The 27,369-nt window shown below is 39.4% G+C and overlaps 1 protein-coding gene across 15 annotated transcripts in view; it reads right to left on the reverse strand.

The window, feature by feature from the left end:
* SORCS1 (sortilin related VPS10 domain containing receptor 1) overlaps window positions 1-27,369 on the reverse strand; it is a 607,476-nt gene that overhangs the window by 454,069 nt on the left and 126,038 nt on the right. The gene's annotated exons all lie outside the window — the stretch shown is intronic.

Here is a 27,369-nt window from a genome sequence, read left to right on the forward strand (position 1 = left end):
CTCCACTTCTGTGGCAGGTCCATATATACAGAATTACTTGAGACTCCAAACACAAACCATTATCTCTGTGGCAAATTATCTCTGTGGATTTCTGTCAAGTTACCCCTACCACTGTATCACAATTACTCGTTGGCCTGCCTGTCAGCCCCCAGGAGAATGTGAACACCTTGATGGGAAGAACAGTATTCACAGTTCTCTACCTGGTGTCTGGCACAAGAGAAGTCCTCAAAATATGTATGGTGAATGAGTGAAAGAATGAATGAATGAGTTTTGGTGAATGAGATAATGGTTATTTTATCAAAGAAAGAAAACAGAAGTTGGTGTTAAATTTGCTTCTCTTCTTGTCGTATTTTATCGCTCATGAATTGAATTAATGAGCAGTTCTTAATAGGAAGGAGGTGCTTTCTAGCTTAACTTCTGCCAGGTAAATCAGTGGCCACTGTATCTTAAGCTGGTAAAGCCACTCAGATGGTTGAAAAGGAATTCCAGCGTTTACACTAACATATATTGGAAGAAAGCATTAAATAGTTTCTCACATGACTACCCTTAAATGCTCAATTCCCCATCCTTTTCCTCTTGTGAAATGGGCATCAGGGAACAGAAAGAGGCTCATATTCAAACACACTTGGGTTAGACTCCCATCTGCACCACTTCCTATTTCTGTAACCTTGCCAGACTTGGTTTCCCAAGAGCCTCTGTTTTCTTATCTGTAAAACCAGAGTGGTAATCTAGACCACATGCAATTTTAGTCACTACAATACAGTGTAAGTGAAACGCTGAGTGTAAAGTTTCTAACATATTGCCTGGGACTTCATAGGTGCTCATTAGTAAGAGCATCATTTTAATCAATCGGTTCTCTTTAGAGAGATTAGCAATATTTGGTTTGTGGGAGTAATGGGCTATATTGGTTAAATCCTCAGGAACCCCTTCATAATTCAATCAAGCACTGTTGTAGAAACCAACCAACAATCCAACCATGGAAACAGTGTTTTAATTATGTGCTACATCTGCTGGTGTACCCCAAGGTTTTCATCTGTAAGCAATTCAGTCTCTCATTATCTCTCTCCTTTTCACTGAAGGGCATCACAGATTGCATATGCTTACTTCTAAATCAAGGAAGAAGGAAGTAGATGTGTGACCCCTGCAAGCCACTTAATCTCGCTTGACTTCTCTTTGTTCATCATTAAAATGAATCAGTTGGACTAGACAATCTCTCGGGTCTTTTGGCTCAATGGTTTGTGATTATAGGAAAGGAGTACTCATAGTTCCTAGATACCAAATCATTAAGTCAGTCCAGTTAAAAACTATTAAACCAACTGAAGCCAAATAATTTTCTTAACTTTGCTTTAGTGGGAAGATTACTATATAGTAAGCCCATAGCATGTACAGATACTTTGCTAGATGCTCTCTCATGGAATGTCAATCAATAGTTATACTTCCATTTAAGCAAATTCCTAGACAAACCTGACTTTATGTTTGTTTTTATAAGAGGATGTTTTGGTCATTCACTGGCACGCTAGCATCATTCTGTAACACTGGGAGGATACCATAAAGGCATTTGCATGATGGCCAATATTCTCTTTCACTAGTCAGAAGAATGGGTTTACCTGTTTTGGAGCACATTCGTCAAAAGAATTCCCACTAAATCTACTTATGTGGGAGCTCCCATCCTCCTCACCATACACTTCTCATTCACGCATTCAACTGCAAATATCAGTCTTGGTATTCCTTTTCCTGCAATTCTCCATAACCACAGTGTGTAGCAAACATTCAGTAAATGTTAGCTCCCTCCCTTCCAGCAAAATCCTAAGAGTGAAAGGAGAGCCACTTCATTTTAATCCTATTGCCTAAATTCTCAATGCATCATTCAATTAATCCAACAGACATATATTGAAACTTTATTTTGGTAAGAATTAGGTACTCTAGATACGGGAGAAGGTAAATAAATTAGGCCATTGATACTTTAGACATTACAATTAAGAATGGGGAAGAGACACAAACCAAATACACCCACACACACCTACATGTATATATGCATACAAACTCATTCTATTTTCTCACTCCTATCCAAGTTTTAGGTTGGCAGCCAGGCCCTTTATCTTTCTTGTATTAGGGACTTACTAGTGTTGAAAACATAAGCCACATTCTAGGTAGAGGGAACAGTGTATGTGACATCTCTAAGTCAGGAAGGAACATCACAGCAATGAAAGAGTTGATGGCAGATGCGTTTGGAAGGCAGAGAGTGGAAAGTAGAGGAGCCTAAAGTGAGCCTTGGAGGGACAGACACATGCAGCAAGCAGTGCCATGTCGCACAATAACTTAGAGGTTCTAAAAGTATTTTAACCGTTTTTCTACTTGAAAAAAAATTAAAGACATCAGGAGTGGTCTACTCCATGTTGCTTTTTAAGTTTTAAGAACATCTCTTTTGTTGGGTCGAGTGCCAGTCTCCACATTCAATACTTAAGTACCAGGTGACCGCAGAGAAGCATAATAATAGCATTATTAAAAGTAACAGCTGTCATTTATTGAGAATGCCTAAAGTTCTAAGCTAAGTACTCTATATCCATCATCTAATACTCATCTTCTATCTACACCCTGAGGTAGGCATTATTTTTGTCCCTAAGTGACAGATAAGAAAATGCAGTTAAATATCTTGTCTGAGGTCAATTTGTAAACCCCAATTTGTATGATTCTAACTTCTCTACGCTTTTGCCTGTGTCCCACACTTTATGTCTCAGTTCTCCACACCCATAGCTCTGCTATCTGGACAAAGGAAAATCACAAATACAACAGGTGTAGGCACATATTCATAAGAGGTTTTAAAGCTGAATTTCACAGAAGTAAAAAAAGCAATTTAACTTGGTGTTTTCTTTGTTTGGAGGCATATTAAAAAGTTAATGAAAAAACACAGTAGTGGCAAAACTCACTTGATTTTGAACAGGAATAAAACTTTTCTCAATTAATACAAGTCATCATTTTAAAGGCAGGCCTCATTTTTACATTATGCCGAGTTTAAAACTGAAAAGATTTTTTAAAAACCAAAGAAAGGGAAATGGAAATAAAGAGGAAAGCTATACTAGAAGGAAAACTGATTGGATGACAACTAAGAAAATGACAAAATCACAAGGACAAAAAAGGAACAGGACAAACAGCAGAAGAATGAATGAAAAGGGTCCCACTGTAGAGGGCAGAGGAGATGCCAACTCTTCTGCAATTCACCCAAGTCTCAGAATTTCATGCTTCCCATTACCGTTCTTAGAGAAACCATCAGATTAAAAACTACTGTTCACAGTTCTCAAGCTGTTCTTTTCTCAGAAACTGGTTTGTTTCTGAAGGGACAGCTCAGCCTATGTGGAGGGTATTCATGCAGACGGAAGCAGAGGTCTACATATAAAATTAGACAAAAAAAGTCAGAAGTTTCTCATCTTGGTTTGAAAATATTGATAGAACAATCTCCTTTTTTCTAACCCCTGGACCATGAGAATTATTACATGTGTCAATAGTTTCTTCTTTCATTTATAGCTAAGCTCCTTCATTTGGTTTCATCAAAAAGTAACTTTCTAGTGATCCTTTTCAACCCTTGCCAGATTTTTTTTTCCATTTCTAATGCATTTTTTTCTAGCCATGGCCCACAATAATCACCAAATTAGCAATCTGAAAGCAACTGATCATGCCTATAGCCATTTCAAGAATCAATGCCTAGGGCTTGGAGGCACAGAGTAACATCACTTGGCAAACCGCCTTGAATGACTATTTCCATTCTTATTGAAAAAGACTGACTTTTCTGCAAGGTTTCTGTTACGTTAGTAGAAAAGAAAAACATTGCATTAATAGCCTCAAAATGTGAATGACAACCAATTTGTATCTCTCTTTTTTTTTTTTGGTGGGGGGGAATAGGGTCTCACTTTGTCACCCAGGCTGGAGTGTAGTGACACAATCATAGTGCACTACAGGCTGGAACTCCTGAACTTAATTAAACAGTCCTCCCTCCTCGCCCTGTCAAAGTGCTGGGATTACAGGAATAAGCCACCATGCCTGGCCAAAATGACATCCTCTCTGAGCTTACCTCTCTAACACTTCAAACCATATTTGTGTTCCACACTAAAACTCAGCATCTTTTCTGCTTCTCTTTAGCTCCCATTCCCAACTTTTCTTCACTAGGACCCTGTGTTTCTGCTTTCCAAAGCCAGAAATCTGGACTAACACTGACATGTTATTCTTCTCCATATGTTATTCCATCATGTTTAGAATCCCAGACATATGCACAGTCCGGCATACCAGTGGAGTGAAAAGAGTGCCCATAGGACTCAGTGGTAGCATTTGCAACCTTTTGATAGAGCCAAGAACAGACAGCCTTACTGCTTCTCTGTGGGACTAAGACTCTGAAGGATTGCAGTTTGAATTGGATCTGTTGCCCTAAGCTGCATTCCATATATATAAATAAATAAAAGACACGTAGACACACATGTCCATTAGTAAGAACTCTTGTTGCAACAATTAACAGGCATCAGCTGGGACTAATTTAAGCAAGAAAGGGCAAAAAAGGGGAAGTTATTACATTTATAAAGAGGCATGGCATGGATCAAAAGCCTTGAGGGCTGAAATTAGGACATAAAAACCATCAAGATCCCCGCAGTGTTCATTGTCCATGTTTTTCCTTGATTTCTCTTTGCTTACCTGCATTTTTTTCCTTTCTTTCGCTCTTCAGTTCACATTCTGGGTAGACCAGGTCCACCCTGGAACTCCTAGAGTTTCTGTTTTCTGTTAGTTACAGAAACAGCTGCTGCCCCTCAATTCTACCTCTAGTTTCCTGGAGTGGGAAATCTGATATCAACCAGCAATGAGTTAGAAGAGCTGAGTCACTTGCTATAAATAAGCCTGCTGAGAACCTCCCCTTGTTGCCCTATGGATATGTGGAGATGTCTCCAGAAAAGAGGGGTCTTGTGAGTTGGGCGATTCTCCACAGCATCTAATGCCGCAGGGAAATGACAACAGAGCTGTTATTGCTGAAACTGTTCACTGAAAGAGGCAATCATTCAGGGCTGAAACAACACAATTAAGGCTCCTTCCCACCCTCTCTTCACTCTGCGCACTTAAACTACATGATACCCTCACACTTACTGCTGCAGTCATCAACCTAGCAACAAGAATTGACTACTGCAAGGATTTTTGCCACAATCACCACTGAACCTGTCCACCCTGAAATCTGCCTGTACAACGAGCTCACCATCTTCTTTTTTAAAGGACGGCATATGTATTTAGTCTGTTCTCACACTGCTATAAAGAACTACCTGAGACTAGATAATTTATGAAGAAAAGAGGCTTCATTGACTCACAGTTCTGCAGGTTGTACAGGAGGGCTGGTTGGGGAGGCCTCAGGAAACTTACAATCATGGTGGAAGGCAAAGGAGAAACAAGCACATATTCTCACAGCCAGCAGGAAAGAGAATGTGCGCAGAAGGGAAGTGCCACACACTTTTAAATCAGCAGATCTCGTGAGAACTCACTCACCATCACGAGAACAGCAAAGGGGAACCTCACCCCCATGATCCAATCACCTCCCATCAGGCCCCTCCTCCAACACTGAGGATCGCAACTCGAAATGAGATTTGAGTGGGGACGTAGAGCCAAATCATATCAGCATGTTTCTAAAAACCAGTATAATGTGCCATGCTTTCCCGATCTTATTTTTCATAAAGCCTCAGTCTCACAGCTATAAAAACACAATAAATAGTATGATTCTTGGCAGGGGCATAGCATAGGCTGAGCAAAGTGTCTGATCTCTATAGCAAACAGGTGATGATAGAGAACTCAAACAGAAACATATTCATCTAAAAGTAAACACCAATTTCTCTATGCTAAGCTCTTACTCCAATTAAATTAGCAAATTACCACATAACAGTTCAATAAGATAGAGATTCCCTTGTTTTACAGACTACAGATCAGAGAGATTAAATACTCCCATTAACAGTATAAAGAAAGCGGCTAGAGTTTAGCTAGCTAGTTGTTTTCCCCTCCTTGAGGCTTATCGAAGTTTTTGCTGCTTTTCTTAAATCCTCACCCCCATTCTCTTATTTTCAGAATTCTGCCATCTCTAGTACAAGTAAGTGGGTTTCTGCTTCCAGGAGAACTTTCCAGCCATGTGGGGTGAGGGAGCCTAGAGCTGGTGAGCCTCCACATAAAGAAATACAGCGTTAAGCAAGGCAGCTGCATGTGGCACATTAATCACTCCTGATGCTCTGGGAGAAGTGAGATACAATTATAAGCCAGCTAATCCCCTAGTTCGTTGGTAGTGGGGTGGGAAAACTGTTAATCAGCATCACAAACACATTTGGAAAGAGGCTTCCAATAGACAGCTTGGAGAGAACAGAGATAGGCTGATCAATTCAACAGGAAAATCTCTTATTTGTCACATCTGGAAGCACCCTGGTTAAGTCTTAATTAGATTGGGTAGTAAAGAAGATCTCATAAACACAAATGGTGGGGAGGGGTAGAGAGGGAGCTGAAGGCTAGTCAGTCAATACAGTTGGCCATGCTCCAAGTATCAGAAAAGAGCCCAGAGTCAGGAGCACAGACACTGCTTCATCAGGGAAGTGTGCGTGAGAGGCATTTGTGCGCTTTCCACCTTTCTTTCCTTCATATATCAATTAAAAAACAACACTAATAGGCCGGGCATGGTGGCTCATACCTGTAATCCCAACACTTTGGGAGACCGAGGCGGGCAGATCACCTGAGGCCAGGAGTTTGAGACCAGCCTGGCCAACATGGAGAAACCCCATTTCTATTAAAAATAGAAAAATTAGCTGGGTTTAGTGGCAGGAGCCTGTAATTCCAGCTATTTGGGAGGCTGAGGCAGGAGAATTGCTTGAACCTGGGAGGCACAGGTTGCAGTGAGCCGAGATCCCACCATTGCACTCCAGCCTGGGAAACATGAGCGAAACTCCATCTCAAAAAAAAAAAAAAAAAAAAAAAAAAACAATGTTCATAGAAGAAACAAAGCCTCTCTGCAGCTCCATCTAAAACCTAAAGAATGAAAGAACCATCTCTCCCAGCAGGATGAATTAGTTGGACATTGACTCCCAGCCTTTTTCACCAGAACTCCTTTTACAATTTTTCCCCATAAACGGTATGTTTTATTTTCGTAATCAAATATAAAATAATTTAATCTATTCACTCATTTTTAACTAAATTATACAAGAATGCTAACCTGATCTCTGGATCATGGTGATATAATCAATGTAATCATTATCCAGTTGAAGAAATATCTAAAAGCTGGAATGACTTGGCTATTCTGTATAATCAAGAACACAAATGCATGTACAATTTTAATTGGGCATCTGTAATATAAAAAAGCTTAGTATATTCATTACCACCTTTTTTTTAATCCCAAGAAATTTCTAGATTAGATGGAATACACTGACCCAGATCCAGATGATTTCCAGGCCCCCTACATCTTTTTAGATGTGGAGACTTATATTCTGTGCCAGTGTTTTTCTAAGGCAACTTAGAGCATTTGGTCCAGTGAAGCTTCAAAAAAAAAAAAACAACAAAAAAAAAAACACAGAAAAACTTCACATGTAACATTACGCATGGTTCTCTTTGGAGGAAAGCATAGTGAATCAGGTGCTGTGCTTCTCATCAAGAATGTGACTTCCCATTACATGATTAAATGAGAGTACCTTCACCTGAACCCCGCAGCTTAGTGCCCTACCATTCAAGCAACGCCATACCAGCAGAACCATGCTTTTGCAGAATGGAGTGAAAAAACTCTCATATTTATCATTAGTAACAAATTAAAAGTGAATCAGAGAACTATGTATAGTGTTAAATCATCTGGAGCTCCACGGTCAATCAGATTTTCTACAGATGAGGCATAGGGCTCACTAACTGATTGCAAACATCACCTACAATTTGGGCTTTTCCTCTTCTAACTTGCTTTGCCTGTCAATGGAAAAGCTCGTATCTCACTTAAAAGCTATTTCACATTTGAGGATCATTAAATCACTAATGTGTTTTAGAACAGACTAATAGGTAAAGGGACAGCACTTCTAGAATACTTACACTCTTAAGTGCTTTACTTGAATGGTCTCATTTAATCCTCACAAATATCCTATGAAATCAACCTTATAAGTATAGTTCCCATTTTATATCTCAATATTATATATTACAAACAATATATAAAAATATATATTATGTTTATAACATATATATAATATATATAGTTTGTAAACAATATATATATTGTTTGTAAGTGCAGAATCAGGATTTGAACACAGACAGTGTGATTCTTGAGCCTACATATTTCTAGTATCCCATAACGTTGTATTTGCTAGGAGTAGAGAGAAATTAAAAGCCCATCTGTATGTATAGTTTCATTTGATCCAGCCTGCTTGAAGGGGAAAATGTGAAAATGTTTTAACACTTTGGTCATAAGAAATGTTGAGTTATTAGATCCTTTCATTTTGATACAGCAATAAAAAATAATATGAATAAAAATAGTATAACAACTATTTTCTCATAGAATTTACATTGTAGGTATTCTAAGTAATCTACAGATAATTTAATGTAATGTGTATAGGTTTTATGCAAATAGTACACCATTTACATAAGGACTTGAGCATCTGCAGATTTTGGTATTCACGGGGTCCTGGAACCAATCTCTCATGGATACTGAGGGACAATTGCATTCGTGAGATAGAAATGAGGAGTCTTGAACCAGTGCCAGTATTCTCTATGCTCCCAGACACATATAATACAGACCTATGATAATTGAGGAGAGAGTTGATGACACTGGCATAAGTGAACTTAAGTCCTCTGCCCACCAAGCCTAGAGGTGATCTCATCAAGCTATTTGGGTTGATTGGCCCAAAGAGTCATTGCATCTCCCTGAGCTGGTTCCATGGGACTGTTCTTAACAGAGATTTCAACACGTAAGAGCTATACCTGATAGAACAGGCTACTGCCTCAGATCCAAAGCACTGAGACCTTTTTAAGCAGCGCTTCCTTCTCATCCTGCATCTCACGAATACCCTCTGTGAAAATATCTGTACCCAGACCACCACCCAACTCTCATTTGAGTGAAGGAAATCTCATGGTTAAGAAAATGCCAAATTCTAAAACATTTAATTGGATGCTATAATCATCCTCCTTATCGTTCAGGCTTCTATTTATAAAGAAGGCTCCATTCTTGCTTGTTTTCTATGTGATCATTTATGTTTTAAATTAGGAACCAGGCTGGGCGCGGTGGCTCATGCCTGTAATCCCAGCACTTTGGGAGGCCGAGGCAGGTGGATCATCTGAGGTCGGGAGTTTGAGACCAGCCTGGCTAACATGGTGAAACCCCTGCTCTATTAAAAATACAAAAATTAGCTGGGCGCGGTGGAACACACCTGTAATCCCAGCTACTCAAGAAGCTGAGGAGGGAGAATTGCTTGAACCTGGGAGGCGGAGGTTGTAGTGAGCTGAGATTGCGCCACTGCACTCCAGCCTGGGTGACAGACTGAGACTGTCTCAAGAAACAAAACAAAAAATTAGGAACCAAATATATGAAGTCAGTCTACCAAAAAGCTCAGTGATGGTGAGATGCTTCCATGGTGACACAAGTTATGTAACTGGCTGTGAAGTGTGTGAGGGCAGGCTACCGCAAGCTCCTGGGGAGGAGCAGTAGGCCAATGTACTCATTTCAGAACTGCATACAGCCCTGATAGCTTAATAAGAATCAAACAACCATAATATGTTTGCATTTCTATCTGGCTCCCGGACTCAAAGAAACTTGAATAAATATTGGCACATTTTATAAATGAGCTGTGGGAGTGGGGAAACCCAGCATCTTTCTCATATAAAATCAGTTCCAGGCAAAATTGTGGAGAAACTTGGTGCAATTTTCAGAATACTGAACATTATATTGTTTTTCCTGCAAATAACTCATCCAATTCTTATAATATCCCTTTGAGGTAAACACCAGAAAAGGATCATTAGTCCCAATTGCTTCAGCTAGAGAGGCTAATAGGAGAAACTTGCTCATCAAGAGCCAAACCAAATTTCAAAGGGAGAAACTTTCTATGTGCTTTGTTTTGAGGTCACTTTATTGATTTTTATTTATTTATTTATTTTGAAACTAGGACTCACTCTGTTGCCAAGGCTGGAGTGTAGTGGTGCGATCTTGGCTCATTGCAGCCTCCGCCTCCCAGGTTCAAGCGATTCTTGTGCCTCAGCCTCCTGAGTAGCTGGGATTACAGGCGTGCACCACCAGGTCCTGCTAGTTTTTGTATTTTTAGTAGAGACAGGGTTTCACCATGTTAGGCTGGTCTCAAACTCCTGGCCTCAGGTGATCTGCCCGCCTCAGCCTCCCAGTGTGCTGGGATTACAGGCGTGAGCCACTGCACCCGGCCCTTTATTTGTTTTTAATTCCTCCATGTAGTTATTTACAGCCAAGTGTCACCAAACAAAGCTATAGAGGAAAAACGGAGATTCATCAAAGACTGAATTGAAGCTTCATAAGCTTCCCTAGATGGGGAAAACGAAAAGAAAAACAAATTTCTCCTACAGCTGTAGAAAACATGTAGGAAAAACGTAGGGAGAAGCAGCTGAGAAGGAAAAGCAAGCAAGCACTTAGCCATGTAATGTATACGGGTCCTAAAATCAGACAGAGGACTGTCGTGGGGTGGGTGGGGGGGGAGAGACAGCATTAGGAGATATACCTAATGCTAAATGACGAGTTAATGGGTGCAGCACACCAACATGGCACATGTATACATATGTAACAAACCTGCACATTGTGCGCACGTACCCTAAAACTTAAAGTATAATAAAAGAAAAAATCAGAGGTGACTTCCAGCTCTGAATCGGCTGCCTAGTAACTATGTGGTCTCAGGCAAACTGCTTAAATTCTCTTTGTTTTAAACTGGTAAAATGGGGATAAAGAGGAAAGTAGACACTGCCCACCCCCAACCCTGGGCAGGGGGCGGGGGGGGAGGTGGTAGTGGTGAGGACTAAATGAGATAATGCACATTTAATATTCAATATTATACTCTGTCTTTTAATCCCTGCTCATAGATTAGCAACAATTAGTTCTTTTTTGGAGACTAACAGAAAAGTTACCAAAACCGAACTTCAACCAAAGTTTATGGCATGATAATCTTTCAATCCTGAATGCTAATAAAAATGCCAAGGGATCACCTTTAGAGTTAATGCAAAATAAAGAGGAGTCATTTACAAAGCAAAACATAAATAAACTACTAAGCACAATTAAGCTAAGTAATATGAAAGTAATCTAAACAGTGTAAAATTAAAAAAAGGATGACTTTCTTTGTAAACAAAAAGGAAAAAGAAATCACGCCTGTAATCCCAGCACTTTGGGAGGCTGAGGCGGGTGGATCACAAGGTCAGGAGATCGAGACCATCCTGGCTAACAAGGTGAAACCCCGTCTCTAATAAAATACAAAAAAATAGCCGGGCGTAGTGGCGGGCGCCTGTAATCCCAGCTACTTGGGAGGCCGAGGCAGGAAAATGGCGTGAACCCGGGAGGAGGAGTTTGCAGTGAGCGTAGATCGCGTCACTGCACTCCAGCCTGGCGACAGAGAGACTCCATCTCAAATAAAGAAAAAAAAAAAAAAAAAAGGATGACAAACTTCTGAAAGTATGCCAAACTAACTGAAAATTCTGGCCCTATATAATGTTGCCCTCTTGTCTGTCCTGTAGAAACTTCTAAAATGTAAATGTGCCAAGAATATTTTAATATTCTTTAGCATGAGCCAAAGTCACTTAAATGTTCTGGTCTGATTCTTTCCTGCTTCTCAGAATAACTGAGCTCAGCCCAATCTTTCTGGAAAAGCAGCAGGAAGAAGCATCCTTCTTTCCTCTCTGGCTCCCCTGCGGGATCAGCTGGAAGGGATGGGGAGCCTCTCAGTCTCAGCAGTCACCAATTAACCACCTCCTAAGAGCTCAGCAGCTGATCTGTTTTTTAAAGAGACTAGACATCTTCCACCACTGCAATCTATGTTAAATAGAACTAGACATCTGACCACAATAACCGAAGGTTAAATAAACATTTCTTCACAGAATATAGTAAAATAAGGCTACTTACTAACAACTAAGGCCCCGGAACAGTGGTTCACGTCTATAACCTCAACACTTTGGGAGGCTGAAGTGGGAGGATCACTTGAGGCCAAAAGTTCAAGACCAATCTGGACAACATAGTGAGGCCCCATTTCTACCTAAAAAGAAAAAAATTAGCCAGGCTCCTGCTTAAGTCCAGGAGTTGACGCCGCCATGAATCAGGATCACAACACTGCAGTCCAGCCTGGGTGACAGGGTGAGACCCCAACTCTAATAAAAATAAATAAGTAACCACTAAACCTAGTAAGACAGTGGCAAAGTGATAACATTTATATCCTTCCAGGATTCCCAAGTTACTGTTATCACCGCACTAACCATGCTACACAATAGGCAATGACTCCATAGAGTAACACCCTACTCTATGATATGTGTGTTGCTTTAACTAATGGCCCAGGGTTTTGGGGTTTTTTTAGTTTTCTTCTTGCCATGTTAATTTCTCTGGGGGCTTATGCTCAGATCAGTAGGAACGTCAGCGGCAATTTTCCTTTATTGACTTTGGGTTGCACTCCACATTTAATTATGCCAGATAATAACTGCAGAAATACTATATGGAATCCAAGTCACATATCCAGAACACAGGGACAGAACATTTGTGAATTCACCCCTTATGGTATTTGGCCCAAGACTCAAGGACAAATTTCTTCACTGAGCAGCTGAGATGTCACAAGTAAAATACCCTCTAACTTTAGTATGTAAAGCCAATCTTTAGTTTATAAAGACAAGAAAAGCACCTTTCTGAATTTAGGCCAGTGACAAGAACTCTCTAAGCCTCAATGTCCCCTTCTGCAAAATGATCATGATTAATATCAGCATGCATCTCATAAAGAAACCGGATTAGGGTTGTTGTAAGGATTACATAAGATGATGTATACTGAACACTTAGCATAGTACCTGGCAGAGTAGCCAAAAGGATTTGGTAGCAGCAGCAGCATCATTAGCACTTAAAAAACTAATGAGACTGGTGAAACTCTCTGAAAGTTACATGGTATTTACCAGCGTTGGAAATGTCAATACCTTTTAACCCAGCAGATGTATCTCCTGGTATCTATCCTAGAGAAATAATCTCATACACAGCCCAAAGAGCATGTAAAACGCTGTTAATATAATACTTGTTTGCTATAACAAAAAAATCCTCAAATAACTTAAATGCCTATTATTGACAAAATCATTAAATAATATTTTATTGTACAATGTAATACTATGCAATAGTGTTAAAGAATAAGGTAGATTTACATGTACTGACACACATAAAAATCTCTAAGATGTATTATTGCTAAGCAGGAAGAAAAATGCAAGTTCAGAACAAATGTGTAATAGGAAATAATTTGAATTTAGGGAAAAAACAGTAAAATACGATATATTTTACCACATAAATTCCCACATAGTGATTTACCCAGGAGAGCACATTGGAAACAGGGTCTCTCTTGCTGCTGCAGTTAAGCATTTGATGATGTTGTCTATCTCTGCTACTTTCTGAAATGTCCTGGCCAAGAATGAAATATACTTAGATAAATGTTGAGTTGCAAAGCAAGAAAGGACAACTTCTAAAGGGGATTAAAAAAAAAAAAAAAGAAAGAAAAGCGAGAAAGGAGATTTCTGATAACTTCAGCATTAGGATCCAAGGGGGCCTGAAGCTAGGTCTATCAGCTTGACATTTTAGTTACAGGAGCAATAATTCCTCTAGTTACGGAGTCAGTTTTAGTCCCACATGTGATTTTTAATTTGCAATTGAAATACACTCAAACTCCCAGTTTTTTTTCCTTCCCCTACACCCATGGTTTTTAAACATTTTTGTTCCTATATTCAACAGAATTTTATATAGAGGCCCAGTATGTAAATCCAGCTATCTAGTGAAAGGTGAGGAAGTGAGAACACAGACCTCAGAACCCTTAGATTGGTCCGACAGAGGGGCTAAGGCACTACATTTGAAACAAGGCTTTCAGAGCATGTGTCTCTGTTTCCTAGACAAACCAATTAGTGTTAAAGTGCCTCGATTTCTTTATCCCAAATGAGAATAATAATATGTTCCCTATCTATCTTTTAGGCTTTGATAACATGAAAAGCACAGCTCTTAAGGCATTTTGGAAAAATGCAAATCTTTCTTAAATTAAAAATTCTTGTTCCAGTTTCAAAACTGAGTCCATAATAAAGATTTCATTAACCTTAAAATGCACTATTTCAAGCAAAGAGATGGTAGCCTTTAAAACTTCACAGTGCTGTCAACCCTAAAATACAGCAAACTCTTAAGCACATCTCCTGTAATTATGCTTGAAATTATCACAGTAAATAAAAGGTGATGACAAATCAGACAGCCACGGATCTCCTGTTGTGGTTTAGAACTTGTATCTATAAATTTCATTCTGTCTTTGAGTCTGGTGTAATCATTTCTGGCATTGTAGAATTATCCAGCAGCGCAACAAAAACAAGAACTATGGAATGACAATAATAACAACGAATAGCTTTACACTGGCAGGAAAGGGCCTGGCATTTACCAAATTCTAAAACAGAATTCTCAAAGAGACTCACATCATCTAGATTTATAAAGAGCTTTGGGGAACATCTAGAATCAGGCTGGTAAATAAGTTTTCTCTCTTATGCTAACTTGGATCTGTTGGGTAGTGACTACTTTTTAAGGCCATCCTACTTCCACATGAATGTGTTGTGACAGATGGGCAATATCTTCCTTGCACATGGACAAATAAAGGGGTGGCTCTCATGCTGTGTACAGGGAACCCCTGATTTTACCAGCGGGGAAGTGAACTATTTTTTTTTTTTTTTGAGACAGAGTTTCACTCTTCTTGCCAAGGCTGGAGTGCAGTGGTGCAATCTCGGCTCACTGCAACCTCCGCCTCCTGGGTTCTAGAGATTCTCCTGCCTCAGCCTCCCAAGTAGCTAGGATTGCAAGCACCTGCCACCACACCTGACTAATTTTTGTATTTTTAGTAGAGATGGGGTTTCACCATGTTGGCCAGACTGGTCTGGAACCCCTGACCTTAAATGATCCACCTGCCTCGGCCTCCCAATGTTCTGGGATTACAGGCATGAGCCTTGCCGGAAGTGAACTATTAAACACTGACACAGCTCAAGAAGGCCATGTTGGAGCTTCTGTGGTTATCCCAAGAATAAATTTATTTGTTAAGATATTTAAACTAGATTTCTCAATTTATCCCAAAGATCCCAGGCTTCTAATTCATTCTTTTTCATGCTCTGTCACCCATTCAAATACACTATTAAGCTAAAAAAATTTTGTCAGAAGGAAAAAAATAATGAAAGAGAATTCTGTAAGACAAACCTTTTTAATCATAAGAAAACACTTCCAGGGAAATGTTAAGACCTCTCTCTGGATCCTCAGTCATTAAGATCTAGGCTGGGTAAAAAAACTGGAAAGCATCTAAGGAAAAAGTAAACCCCGTTTTGCCCCATGTCTTCAGGGAGGAGGACATAGCAATGGGAATTTTAACAAGACTTTTCTGTCACGGGTTCTCATTCAACCTGCAGGTTTTATGTTGGAAGGTAAGTCTTACAATGTTGATTCCGCCGTCTGAATGATTAATGTTCTCCCTTGCCAGATAAAACGATGCTCTTTTTGTGGAGATATAAGGGAAACAGGCAATAACTGCATTGAGTTTTAGGAAGAACAGCTCTCCAGCAAACAAAGCAATACAGTTTTTCTGATTTTCTTTAACATTATTTAACAAGTTAACGAGTCTTGGTACTCATTCTGGTGCGCTCCTTCCCTTCCTGTCAAGCTTGCTAAGTATCTAATTTCCCTATTGTCTTCAGCTGTTCAAGGTCATCATGGCCCCCAAGCCACCCTCCTCCCTGCCACAATCTGGCCCTGTCCTATCCCTTCAGCCTCAAGTTTCACCACCACCAGCCCCTTCTGCCAGCCCTATGATGCCTACTAAATTCGGCAATGGAGTGTTTCATTGTGGGATTTCATGATTAATGCCTGTCTACCCCACTAAGATAAAAAGCTCCATAAAGGAAGATCTGTGTCTATGTTCAACACATAGTCATTGAATGGAACCAAATCATCTTTCCGAAAGTCCTGCTCACTTCACGTCTAGGTTTTTGGTAATGTTCCATAAAAGTAGGACTTCCACAGCTTGTCCATACTGATATTCTCCTGGCGGGATGTGACTTTCCTTGCTGGTGTTCCCATTCTTGTTCACACGAACAACAGGTTGCCTACAACCATCAATGTCAATTCTTTTCTAATTTTTCTCTTCTCTATCCTGCTGGAAACAACAAAAAAAGCCTGTGATGGAGAACCATGTATAATGAAATCAGGAGATCTTTCTTTTTAACCATTTGTTTTCAATATTTTTCTGGTGATCTTCACCTTGATTCTCAATATCAATCTTATCTAACCAAATAAATGCCTAGTCATCACCTCATTAAACAAGAAAACAAGGAAAAGGAAAAGAAAGAAGTCAAGATATCCTGCATGACTAACATGGCCAAATTCTGTGTTTAGCCTTAAGGATTCAAAATATAAATAAATACATAAACACACACACATGCTTTCCCCCACAAAAGAAAACTCACAAATAAATAAGAAATGTGCCCTGATTTTAAAAAAACAAGCAATGTAATTTATGAAATAAACAAATAAATAAGAAATAGGTCCTGCATTTAAAAAATGTTTCATTCTAATTTGTAAAAAAAAAAAAAAAAAAAAAAAAAAGTTGGCAGGGCACCGTGGCTCACACCTGTAATCCTAGCACTTTGGGAGGCCAAGGTAGGTGGATCACAAGATCAGGAGTTTGAAACCAGCCTGGCCAATATGGTGAAACCCTGTCTCTACTGAAAATACAAAAAATTAGCCGGGTGTTGTGGCGGGCGTCTGTAGTCCCAGCTACTCTGGAGGCTGAGGCAGGAGAATCGCTTGAGTAGGTTGCAGTGAGCCAAGATGGCGCCATTGCATTCCAGCCTGGGAGACAGAGTGAGATTGTGTCTCAATAAAAAAAAAAAAAAAAAAAAAAGTGACAACTAAACAAATGCAATGATGTATTATAGGTGCTGCATCAGATAGATGGAAAGGGGTGTCAGTTTTATATTGAAGGGTTAACACATGCTGCAGGAGATGGATGGCATTTGACATAAGGCTTTAGGAATGCATATGAAACTGATAGTGCCCTGAAAGATAGGGAGTTTAGGCCAAAAGAGAAGGATGCGCATTTGAGTAACTTCAGATCCTTCAGTCTGGGGTATCAGGCCTTGAGAGACCAGGACCGTATTATGAAGGACCATCAATGCCAGGTTAAAGAGCTGGACTTTATTCTGCAATGGGGAACTGCTAAAGGGGAGCGATCCAATCAGACTTTTGTTTTAGGACAGTGGCTATAAGCTTAAGTGTGCATAAGATTTACATACATCAAACACTGAGATTCTGATCCAAAATACCTGATTTCATTATAAGGGTCCTAAGAAGCTGAATTTTAATTAATCCTGGTGGTTTTCAGGTAAGTAGTCTGAGGTCCATACTTTTCCTAAATTTGCTGCAAATAGGAAATTGCAGCTGCCACTATTGACCAGAATGAAAAGGTCAATAAAATGAATCTGACCTTTCCCAATGTTCCTACTGTACAACTGGGAGGTATTTTCAGGGTATGCAATATCTGACTTGAACTTCATATTTGTAGAGTGTTACAGGGCATGGACAACTTGGGCCCAGCCATGCATTCTGGTTTTCAATTCAGCTCATCACCAATTCTCCACAGAAAGGGAAAAGGGTCAACCTATCCATTAGGCAGAGTTTGCAGAATGCCTAAGGCACACACAACAGTTTTAAGGGGCCATGCCAATATTTTAATTTATTTTAAAGTCAGGAAAAAAAATTTTAAGTTGAGAAAAATGTTTAAATTAATAACATGGATATATATTTATGTGTGTGTATGTGTGTGTGTGTTATGTGAATATATATCTTCTTTTTTTTTTTTTTTTTTCTCAGTTGTGTTCTTATTCTGTCACCCAGGCTGGAATACAGTGGCATAACAACAGTGTACTACAACTTTGAACGCCTGAGCTCAAGCAATCCTTCACACCTCAGTCTCCCAAGGAGGTGGGACTACAGGTGGATGCCACCATGCCTAATTTTTTTTTTTCTTTTTTGAAACGGAGTCTTGCTCTGTCGTCAGGCTGGAGTGCAGTGGTGCGATCTCGGCTCACTGCAACTTCTGCCTCCCGGGTTCAAGCGATCCTCCTGCCTCAGCCTCCTGAGTAGCTGGGACTACAGGCACGTGCCACCACGCCCAGATAATTTTTGAATTTTTAGTACAGACAGGGTTTCACCACGTTGGCCAGATGGTCTCAATCTCTTGAATTCGTGATCCGCCCACCTTGGCCTCCCAAAGTGCTGGAGTTGCAATCGGGAGCCACTGTGCTCGGCCACCTGGCTAATTTTTAAATTTTTTGTCTATTTTGTTCAGGTTGGTCTTGAACTCCTGGCCTCAAGCAATCCTTCTGCCTTGGCCTCTAAAAGTACTGAGATTACAGGCATGAGCGACTGTATGTGGCCACATTAATATGTTTATTGATAAATATATTTAACATATTTATGTTTATCAATAAATACATGTAATATATATTTCTGTACTACTAATAATATATCTATATAAATACAATCAAAATATATTTTTATGGATAAAGAGACCCCAAATGCAAAAGTGCCTAAGGTCTACACAAATCAACATACAACCCAGAAAGGATGGGTGAGAAAATGCAGAGGTTTAAAAACTCTTTACACATTGGGCACTGACATGAGCCTCATGTACGTCAGAGGGTGGGAAAAGAAGTGTATTTTTGATATAAACAGGAGGCAAAGAATCTGAAAAGAGGAAGGGCTTTGATTCCAAAGAAGGGATTATTTGGCTTTCTAAATTTCTGTGTTAGTTGCTGAAATCTAAAAACCTCCCAGAAAAATGCAATCTTGAATTAGGATAAGCCTCTCATGAGGACCCAAAACACTGGGTCTACCAGTTAGCATAGAAGGTATGAAAGAGCATAAAGCAAAGAAGGCTTGGTATTTCATAAGCAGTCCCTCTATCATGATGGTGGCTACATATTTGGATTTCATAAAGTTTCCAGGAAAGGATCATCTGGCATTCTGTTTTGTTTTGCTGTATTTTATTTTATTTTATTTATTTATTTTTTGAGATGGAATCTCGCTCTATTGTCCATGCCAGAGTGCAGTGGCACAATCTCATCTCACCGCAACCTCTGCCTCCCGGGTTCAAGCCATTTTCCTGCCTCGGCCTCCCAGGTAGCTGGGATTACAGGTGTGCACCACCACACCTGGCTACTTTTCGTATTTTTAGTAGAGACAGGGTTTCACCATGTTGGCCAGCCTGGTCTTGAACTCCTGACCTCAAGTGATCTGCCCACCTCGGCCTCCCAAAGTGCTGGGATTACAGGCATGAGCCACCATGCCCAGCCAGCATTCTGTTTTATTTTAGATAAAGTCCAGATGTCAGTAGAACAAGTCATTAAAAACAAAACTACCATAGTGGATGTCGATAAGCCCACATGACATTATGCAACCCTTTCCACTTTAAGATTGTCTGTACAGCCCTGATAGGTTATTATTTTGTTACTGTCGCTTTAACTCACTTTTCTACCAGAAATTTTATTATTAGGCATGGTATCTATTTTACGTAAGGAAAATGGGTTATTCTGATTATCAGAAAAAGTACTTTACATATTTTTGTTAAAGTTGCTCTTATATTCAAACTTCTCACTTTAGCATTCAAAGCCCTTCAACACTTGGCTACAGGCTAACTCCACACTCTGTTCTCACTTTTACTGCACTCTAGCCAAAACGGACCATTTGTCACCGCAGTGCGTTGCCAATATTTTCCCAATGTTATGTCCCTGCTCCAGTTGTTCCCTGAAAATGGAGACCCATCTTTACCCAAGCCCATCTCTCATACCCCTGTTTAGGAAGCTTGCCGGGTGCGTTGGCTCACACCTATAATCCCAGCACTTTGGGAGGCAGAGGCAGGCAGATTGCCTAAGCTCAGGAGTTCGAGACCAGTCTGGGCAATGTGGTGAAACCCTGTCTCTAAAAAAAAAATACAAAGAGTAGCCAGGTGTAGTGGCACATGTCTGTAGTCCCAGCTATTCAGGAGGCGGAGGTGGGAGGATCACCTGAGCCCGCGAAGTCAAGGCTGCAGTGAGCCGAGCTGCAATCATGTCACTGCACTCCTAGGCGACAGAATGAGACCAAGTCTCCAACAACAACAAAAAGACTTTACTCTCTGGCTACCTGGATGGGGCCTTTCCTTCTTTCTAAGTCTTTTGATACTGTTTTGTACCTTTCTTATTGCCTCAATCATTTTAACACCATATTTTAGTTATGATTAGGTATTTTCTGTCTTGATTATCAGACTGAAAGTAAGTGCATTACAGAGAGTGAGCTTTAGTATACAGCAATACATATAAGTGGTGCTCAGTAATGCCTGACAAGGTCTTTGTAACAACATAAATTACCTTAGCATGTCATCTCACTGTCTTTCCACTTACTTTGCCTCATTTTTCTTCATGGTCCTTAACACTACTTTAAATCCTATACTCTACGTTTATTTGTTAATTTGTCTTTCAATTAGGGTATAAATTCCACCAAAGTAGGAGGGCATTGTTTCATTCACTGCGGTAGCCCCAATGACTAGGACTTTTCCAGGGATGTGATATTTGCAAAGTAAATATTTTTCAATGAATTATTTAATAATATCTAATAAGTACTTATAAATGAATATTTTATGGCGTACGTGAAGATGGAAAACGTCTCATGACCTTCAGAGTTGAGCTATCTCCCCTATGGAAGCTTACTTAAGTGTACCTCTTCACACCCATTCACATCGTAGGTGACACCATTTTTTGGATGGAGTAGAAAAGCAATCTGTATTCAGCCCAAAGGAAAAACCATAGAAGGGACAGAACCAAAAAACAGAAGGGTGGCTTTTATGAAGGAGCTATTTTGACACAGCCACATGACACTAAGGCCATGTTTAATGACAGTAGCGGTAAATTTGTGTTTCAGAAACCTGTACTAAGGACTCTTTAAAAGGAGAATAGCAACACATTGAGGGCAAAAGAGAGTGTCTGAGAGAGAAGCAGACAATTATTGCGGCACTACTCACAATAGCAAAGACTTGGAACCAATCCAAATGTCCAACAATGATAGACTGGATTAAGAAAATGTGGCACATATACACCATGGAATACTATGCAGCCATAAAAAATGATGAGTTCATGTCCTTTGTAGGGACATGGATGAAATTGGAAATCATCATTCTCAGTAAACTATCGCAAGGACAAAAAACCAAACACCGCATGTTCTCACTCATAGGTGGTGGGAATTGAACAATGAGAACACATGGACACAGGAAGGGGAACATCACACTCTGGGTACTGTTGTGGGGTGGGGGGAGGGGGGAGGGATAGCATTAGGAGATATACCTAATGCTAAATGACGAGTTAATGGGTGCAGCACACCAGCATGGCACATGTATACATATGTAACTAACCTGCACATCGTGCACATGTACCCTAAAACTTAAGGTATAATAAAAAAAATACACCCCAGGGCAGGTGGTGAGCTCTGCTGCCTGAACCCAAAATTTCAGCCATCTAAGAAAATATTTTGTCTGCTACATGCCTGGGTTGGGACCTGTCGTAAGTTTAAGTGCTAAAACTTCTTCATTGTTACATTTCTATTACTGGGAAACTCCAGCTTCTTTAAATAAGAAAACTTTCCCTTTTGTTTTTCACTTAGCATTGAAGTTTGTCTTTAATGTATTATTCAGGTTTGGGCAACGATTAATTAATCAGAACCCTTTTGTACTGGGAGACTAGAACTAAGTCTTGGCTAAATCACACCAGATGCTCCAAATTAGATTCTGTCAAGTGGATGACGGTATCAAACATTCTTGTTAATTATGCAGTAAAAATTACAAGAGGCTAAAGATGAATTTGGATTTTTAGGAGTAAAAATTTTCCTGGTGTCTTGGATATATGTACGATGCTACCAAAATTCCACCTTTGGCTAATATTTTGTGTGAAGAGAGAATAATTATTAAACGAAACGTAATATATCTCAGCTTAGAAGTTTCGCTTCAAGCCCATTTAATGAGGGATATCAGTGCATAAAATTAGTTTTTCCACAAGTGTACATGCATATTCCAAGTGTTTCAAGGAATCTGGCCCACTAAAACATGATCCTGTGAGAAAAGGTCTAATCAGCCAAAAACCTTAACCCTTAACTTTAAAAATTAGCCTAAGGGGGAGATTCAGTCAAAACAGATATATTTGTTAGTTGTATTCCTGAATCTCAGGTATTAGCGGATTCAGTTTAATAGCTGATGCTTACACATAATGGTTAGATTTCTTTCTCTTTTTTTTCTGGCAACTTACTTTCTAGGGCTGACAGGTTTTTACAGAAAATGGTCACTTTTAAACACCTGACAGAGAAAAATCACATGTGAGAAATGAATCAATCAAAGAACAGGAGTGTATGCTTCAGACATAAGGAAAATTCCTTTTCCACAATCAGAAGCAGCTGATTCCTGTGAGGAGAAGACTCTAAGACATTGCTTTCTGATTCTGAAGGATGTATTTTGATTGTAGAACAGTTCAATAGAAACCCCAGTGAGAATAATGGCACTCTATTTAGGCTTTATTTCCAGAACCTTCTAGTCCTGCTAAAAGTAGGCACAAAATGGCTTTAGTGGCACCTCTCCTCAAAACTGAATTCTGTATAGAATTTAATATGCCACAAGTTCATCTTGTCAGCAGTTGAACCAAAGCTCCTGTGTACTTCCAAGAAATGGATCAATGGACACTTCAGTCCATTCTTACAGCACAGAGGAAATGGGACTGGGTATTTTCTTTTTAGAACCAAAAGTATCAACCAGGCCTTCTTAAGTATATATATGGTTTTGCAGGCTAGAGAGTGAAGCTCTCTACTATGTCAAAGAAGAGTGGGCTGAATTTTCCCATTGCTCAGGCATCATCCCTCCCTCCACATCTTTACAACAATCTAGATGAGTCTTCCTTATTCATTCACATATCCTTTCAGTCTTTTATTCATTAAATCGTTTAATATATAGTATGAGCCAGGTTCTGTGTGACATAAAGTTTTCTTCCTTCTTTCCTTCCTTTTTCTCTCCCTCCTTCCTTCCCTCCCTTCCTTCCACAAATAACAATTGAACACCTACAATGGATCAGGCACTCTTTTAAGTATTAGGCATACAGCAGTAAGCAAGAAAGTCTAGAATATTGTTCTCAAGGAGCTTATAGTTTAGTGGATGGCAGCACACAAGTAAATAGAAACAATAAATGAGAACATTTCAAATTTCAGACAGCCACGTGTTATGAGGATAAGAAAACAAGGCAGTGGGATAGAGAGTGCCTAAAGTTGATGTAATACTTCAGATCTTTCCAAGGAGCTGAAATCTTACCAGCCATAAAAATATCTAGTAGATGAGCAATTGTCCAGGCTCTGAGCTGAGAGCCATTTTGTCAAGTCCATAGTACAGAAAGCTCAGTATGTGTCTAGAATATTGAATTGGAACCTGAAAGATGTTTACAATCCAGTGTGGAGGTTCTTAACATGTTTCTAGTTGTCAACGCCAATGGGTGTATGAAGAAAGTTTAGACAGTTTCTCCAGAAAAACACCCATCCATGCTTCTAGGCACACACTAAGTATTTACTATATTAACTCAGGGGGTTCATGGATCTTTTGAAGCCCATTTGTATAAGCCCTGGAGATTCATGGACTCTTGTCAGAGTGGTAGAATGATTTTTAGTGTTATGATGCTGCTCTTAAAATAAGATTGAACTAATTTGTACTGGCTTGCATGTCTGTGCCAAGCATTTTCAGATACATTAATAATTTAACATTTATAAAATGAAACCAAGAATTCCAGAGATGCAGTGAGTTGTTTAAGACACGCTAATTCATGAAAGGGCTGGTACTTGAACCCAACTTTTTAGATGCTAATCCTACCTTGCCAATATCCTCTTCCTGACTTAAGGACTAAGAAAATTGTTGGCACAGACTTTTCAGTGACATAAATCATCTCTGTGTCCTACCCTGCCTTGGTCTTATGGACTACTGGTGTTGCACAGAACTGTTTTGCAAAGTCACCCTAAATGGACTTTTACAGTCTAGCCTCAGCCTAGGCTTGGATCTTTTGTTATTCATGCTTCAATTGTTGCTACCCACACCTAAGAATTTAGAATTTAGTGTCATCTGCAGGTTTCATTAGCAAGCTGCTTATTACAGCTCTTCCAGGTCATTAATGAAGCTGTTAAATATGTCTGGTTCTGGACTTCCCTGTGGAGGCCTGCTGGCTACTTACGAGAGACTCATTTATCATTTCTCAGCACTGGGAATCTATGGACAGCCTCAGACTCAGGGATGACACTCCAGTCCAAATCAAGGATCATTTTCAGATTTCAAGATATGTCTAATCAAGTTGCATCTCAGGTAACTGAACCTTGAGAGGTATCACTCACTGCTTCTAAGAAAAGTGGCCATATAAATTATCAACCTATTGGGATTCTTTTTTTAAGTTAAAGGAGGTATAATTACCCAGGACAACAAATGTGATGAAACCCTACAGGCTAAATCAGGCTGAATGTCACCTTAGTTCTCCACATCTTCAGATTCAAGTATTATTTACTGAGCACCTACTACTTGGTAAGCACATTTGTTAAGTATCAGCACTTTAAAGGATAATGCAGACATAAGTTAAATTCCAACCTCCATGGTCACAGAAACACTTTCAGAACAACGACATTACAGAAATCTTAAATCTGCTTCTGGACTCCCAAGGATTTATTTTCCTCTTCTTCTCATATATCTCCATGAATTCTTATTCTGCTACCTGTCAACTTCTGTTCTATAATGGGAATTTTTTTTCATTGAAATTTGTAAATTATATTCTAGTGAAATAGGCCCTTATTAGAACATTAGTGATAGAAAAAGGCCTGAAATCCATATTTGTAGAAAATGATCCTTTCTTTCTCATTGTGTTCCATAGAAGATTCACAGCAATCAAAGGAACTCTTCTCTTTCTCCTCTAGCCATTTTTACTGAAAGCCATGTAGCTCGCTATTACTTTAAGGATGTAATCCACACAAATCAAATATCAGCTACTTTCTGAATATGGCAAAACCATGAGTCAATGATATATCTAACTTTGGAATACATTTCCTATGTGTAAATCAAAAGCCTACAGTCCAAAACCATGCTTTTCCCTCGCTTATAGCCACTCAATTATTTCACTCTACTGTCTAAGAAACCCTGTCCCAAGTCAAATTCTATTTAAACTCTTTAATTGTGATTTCCGCTAGCAGAGTACTGATGCATTAGTCTCTCCAAATATGTAACCCCTACTTAAACTTTAAAATGCATACCTCCGGGGAAATCCACTTTACACACTTATGATTTATTATATTGAAATAAGAACAGCTTTTAGCAGGCTTTTTGCCATTACTGGAAGCCTTTAAAATATTTAGTTCAAGAACAAAACAATCCACGGGTCACAATTTGCCAGAAGTAAATGATGATAGGCAAAGGTTAGGTACGTAGTTGTATATAAACTGCAGAGTGAGCAAACACATATTTATTCTTTACCAGTTGTATATTTCTTCTTCAATTAGAATTTTTAGTCAATTGAAAAAAAAATGTCTCCAACTGGAAAAAAGGGTTGACTTGTATCTTTGAAGAGTTACAATATTTGAAACTCACATATGGATAGCAATACAAATTTTTCCCACTGAGTTCACTGAAAACGCTTGCAAAAATCTGCCTGGGGTAAAAGAAGAGGCAAATCAAATGATTCAGAAGCAAAATACGTTTCATTATAAATACAAATAAGCAGATGCCCTGGTGTCTTGTGAAGATTTTGCTTTCTTTCCTTCACTGCTAGGGGTTTCCAAGAGCTCCTTCAATCATATAGTTTACCTCCTGCTGCACACACCTTGTCTGCATTTCTGAAATGCACATGCCTGTCTGGCAAACAGCACTCGTTTCTATACAGAGTCCCTATGGGGGTAAAATCACCATTGAAGTCAGTAGTTTTGAACCTTTATTGCACACTTTAGAATCCTCTATGGGAATAAAAAACTGCTGATACCTGGAACCCATCCCAAACAGATTCAGATTGAATTGATCAGTAGGACCCAACTATGAGAATTTTTAAAAGCTCTCCAGGTGAATCTAATATGTATCAAGTGTCGAAGGCTACCGATTCAGATAAAATTTATTTGTAAATGACTTGACAACAAGTGGTTGAAAACGAATATGCAGTATGATTCAGAGAGGGGAAACTAGAAGTAAAAATATTCGCAACAGAGGTGATGCAAGTGAAAATGTGAACAACAATGCAAATATTTTAACTACTTTAACATTTTTACTGTGATAGGTTGGTGAGGCAGACTCTGGAACAATGCAGAATTCTAACTATAATAACATTTTTTTAAAAAAGGTATATGTAATAATTGGGAACTTTTGTTGGGGGGTTTCCTGAGGAAGCTTCAGCTGAGATCTAAAGAATGGGAAAAAATGGACCAGGTAAAGACAGAAAGAGTCCAAGTAGAGAGATTCCCATGTATGTATCACCTATGTGACAGAAAAGAGCTGGACACGTTTGGTGGACAGAAAGAAGGAAAGTCTGGCTGGAACTGAGGGCAAAAGGGCTAGAATTTTAACAGGGAGTCAAGGATAACCATGGAAATGTCACATTCAGAGCCTTGCTGAAAGTCTAACTTGACAGTCTGGGGCAGGCAGTGAAAAATGGGTCATCTAAATGCTGTGAACTCTACTCCCTGGGACATTCATTAATTAATAGCCAAACAGCAAACCACAGGGCATGAGCTATGCTAGCCAACAACCAGAGTTGTCTAAGTTGTTAAATTCAGCCCCAACATTTATTTTGACCTGACGTGAACAAATTATTTACCATCTCTTTGCTGCATCTGTATAATGCAATTAATAGTGAACTTTCCTCCTCAGGCTTACTAGGTAAAGATAAAGTGGTATCACATTTGTTGAGCCCTCATCAATACGACATGCCTAATAAGTGTTGGCCACTCTTATTAGAACTTAGAAGAGCCCATCAGATAGTCAGAGACACAGACATGAACACAGATACCTCTGATCCAACAGAGAATGTGCTGAGGACCAGGGGGAGCTGAAATATAATGCTGGAAGAGCACAGAGTGGAAGGGATTAATTTTGA

This window comes from Homo sapiens, chromosome 10 (genome assembly GCF_000001405.40).
Source record: "Homo sapiens chromosome 10, GRCh38.p14 Primary Assembly".
NCBI classification, from domain to species: Eukaryota; Metazoa; Chordata; class Mammalia; order Primates; family Hominidae; genus Homo; species Homo sapiens.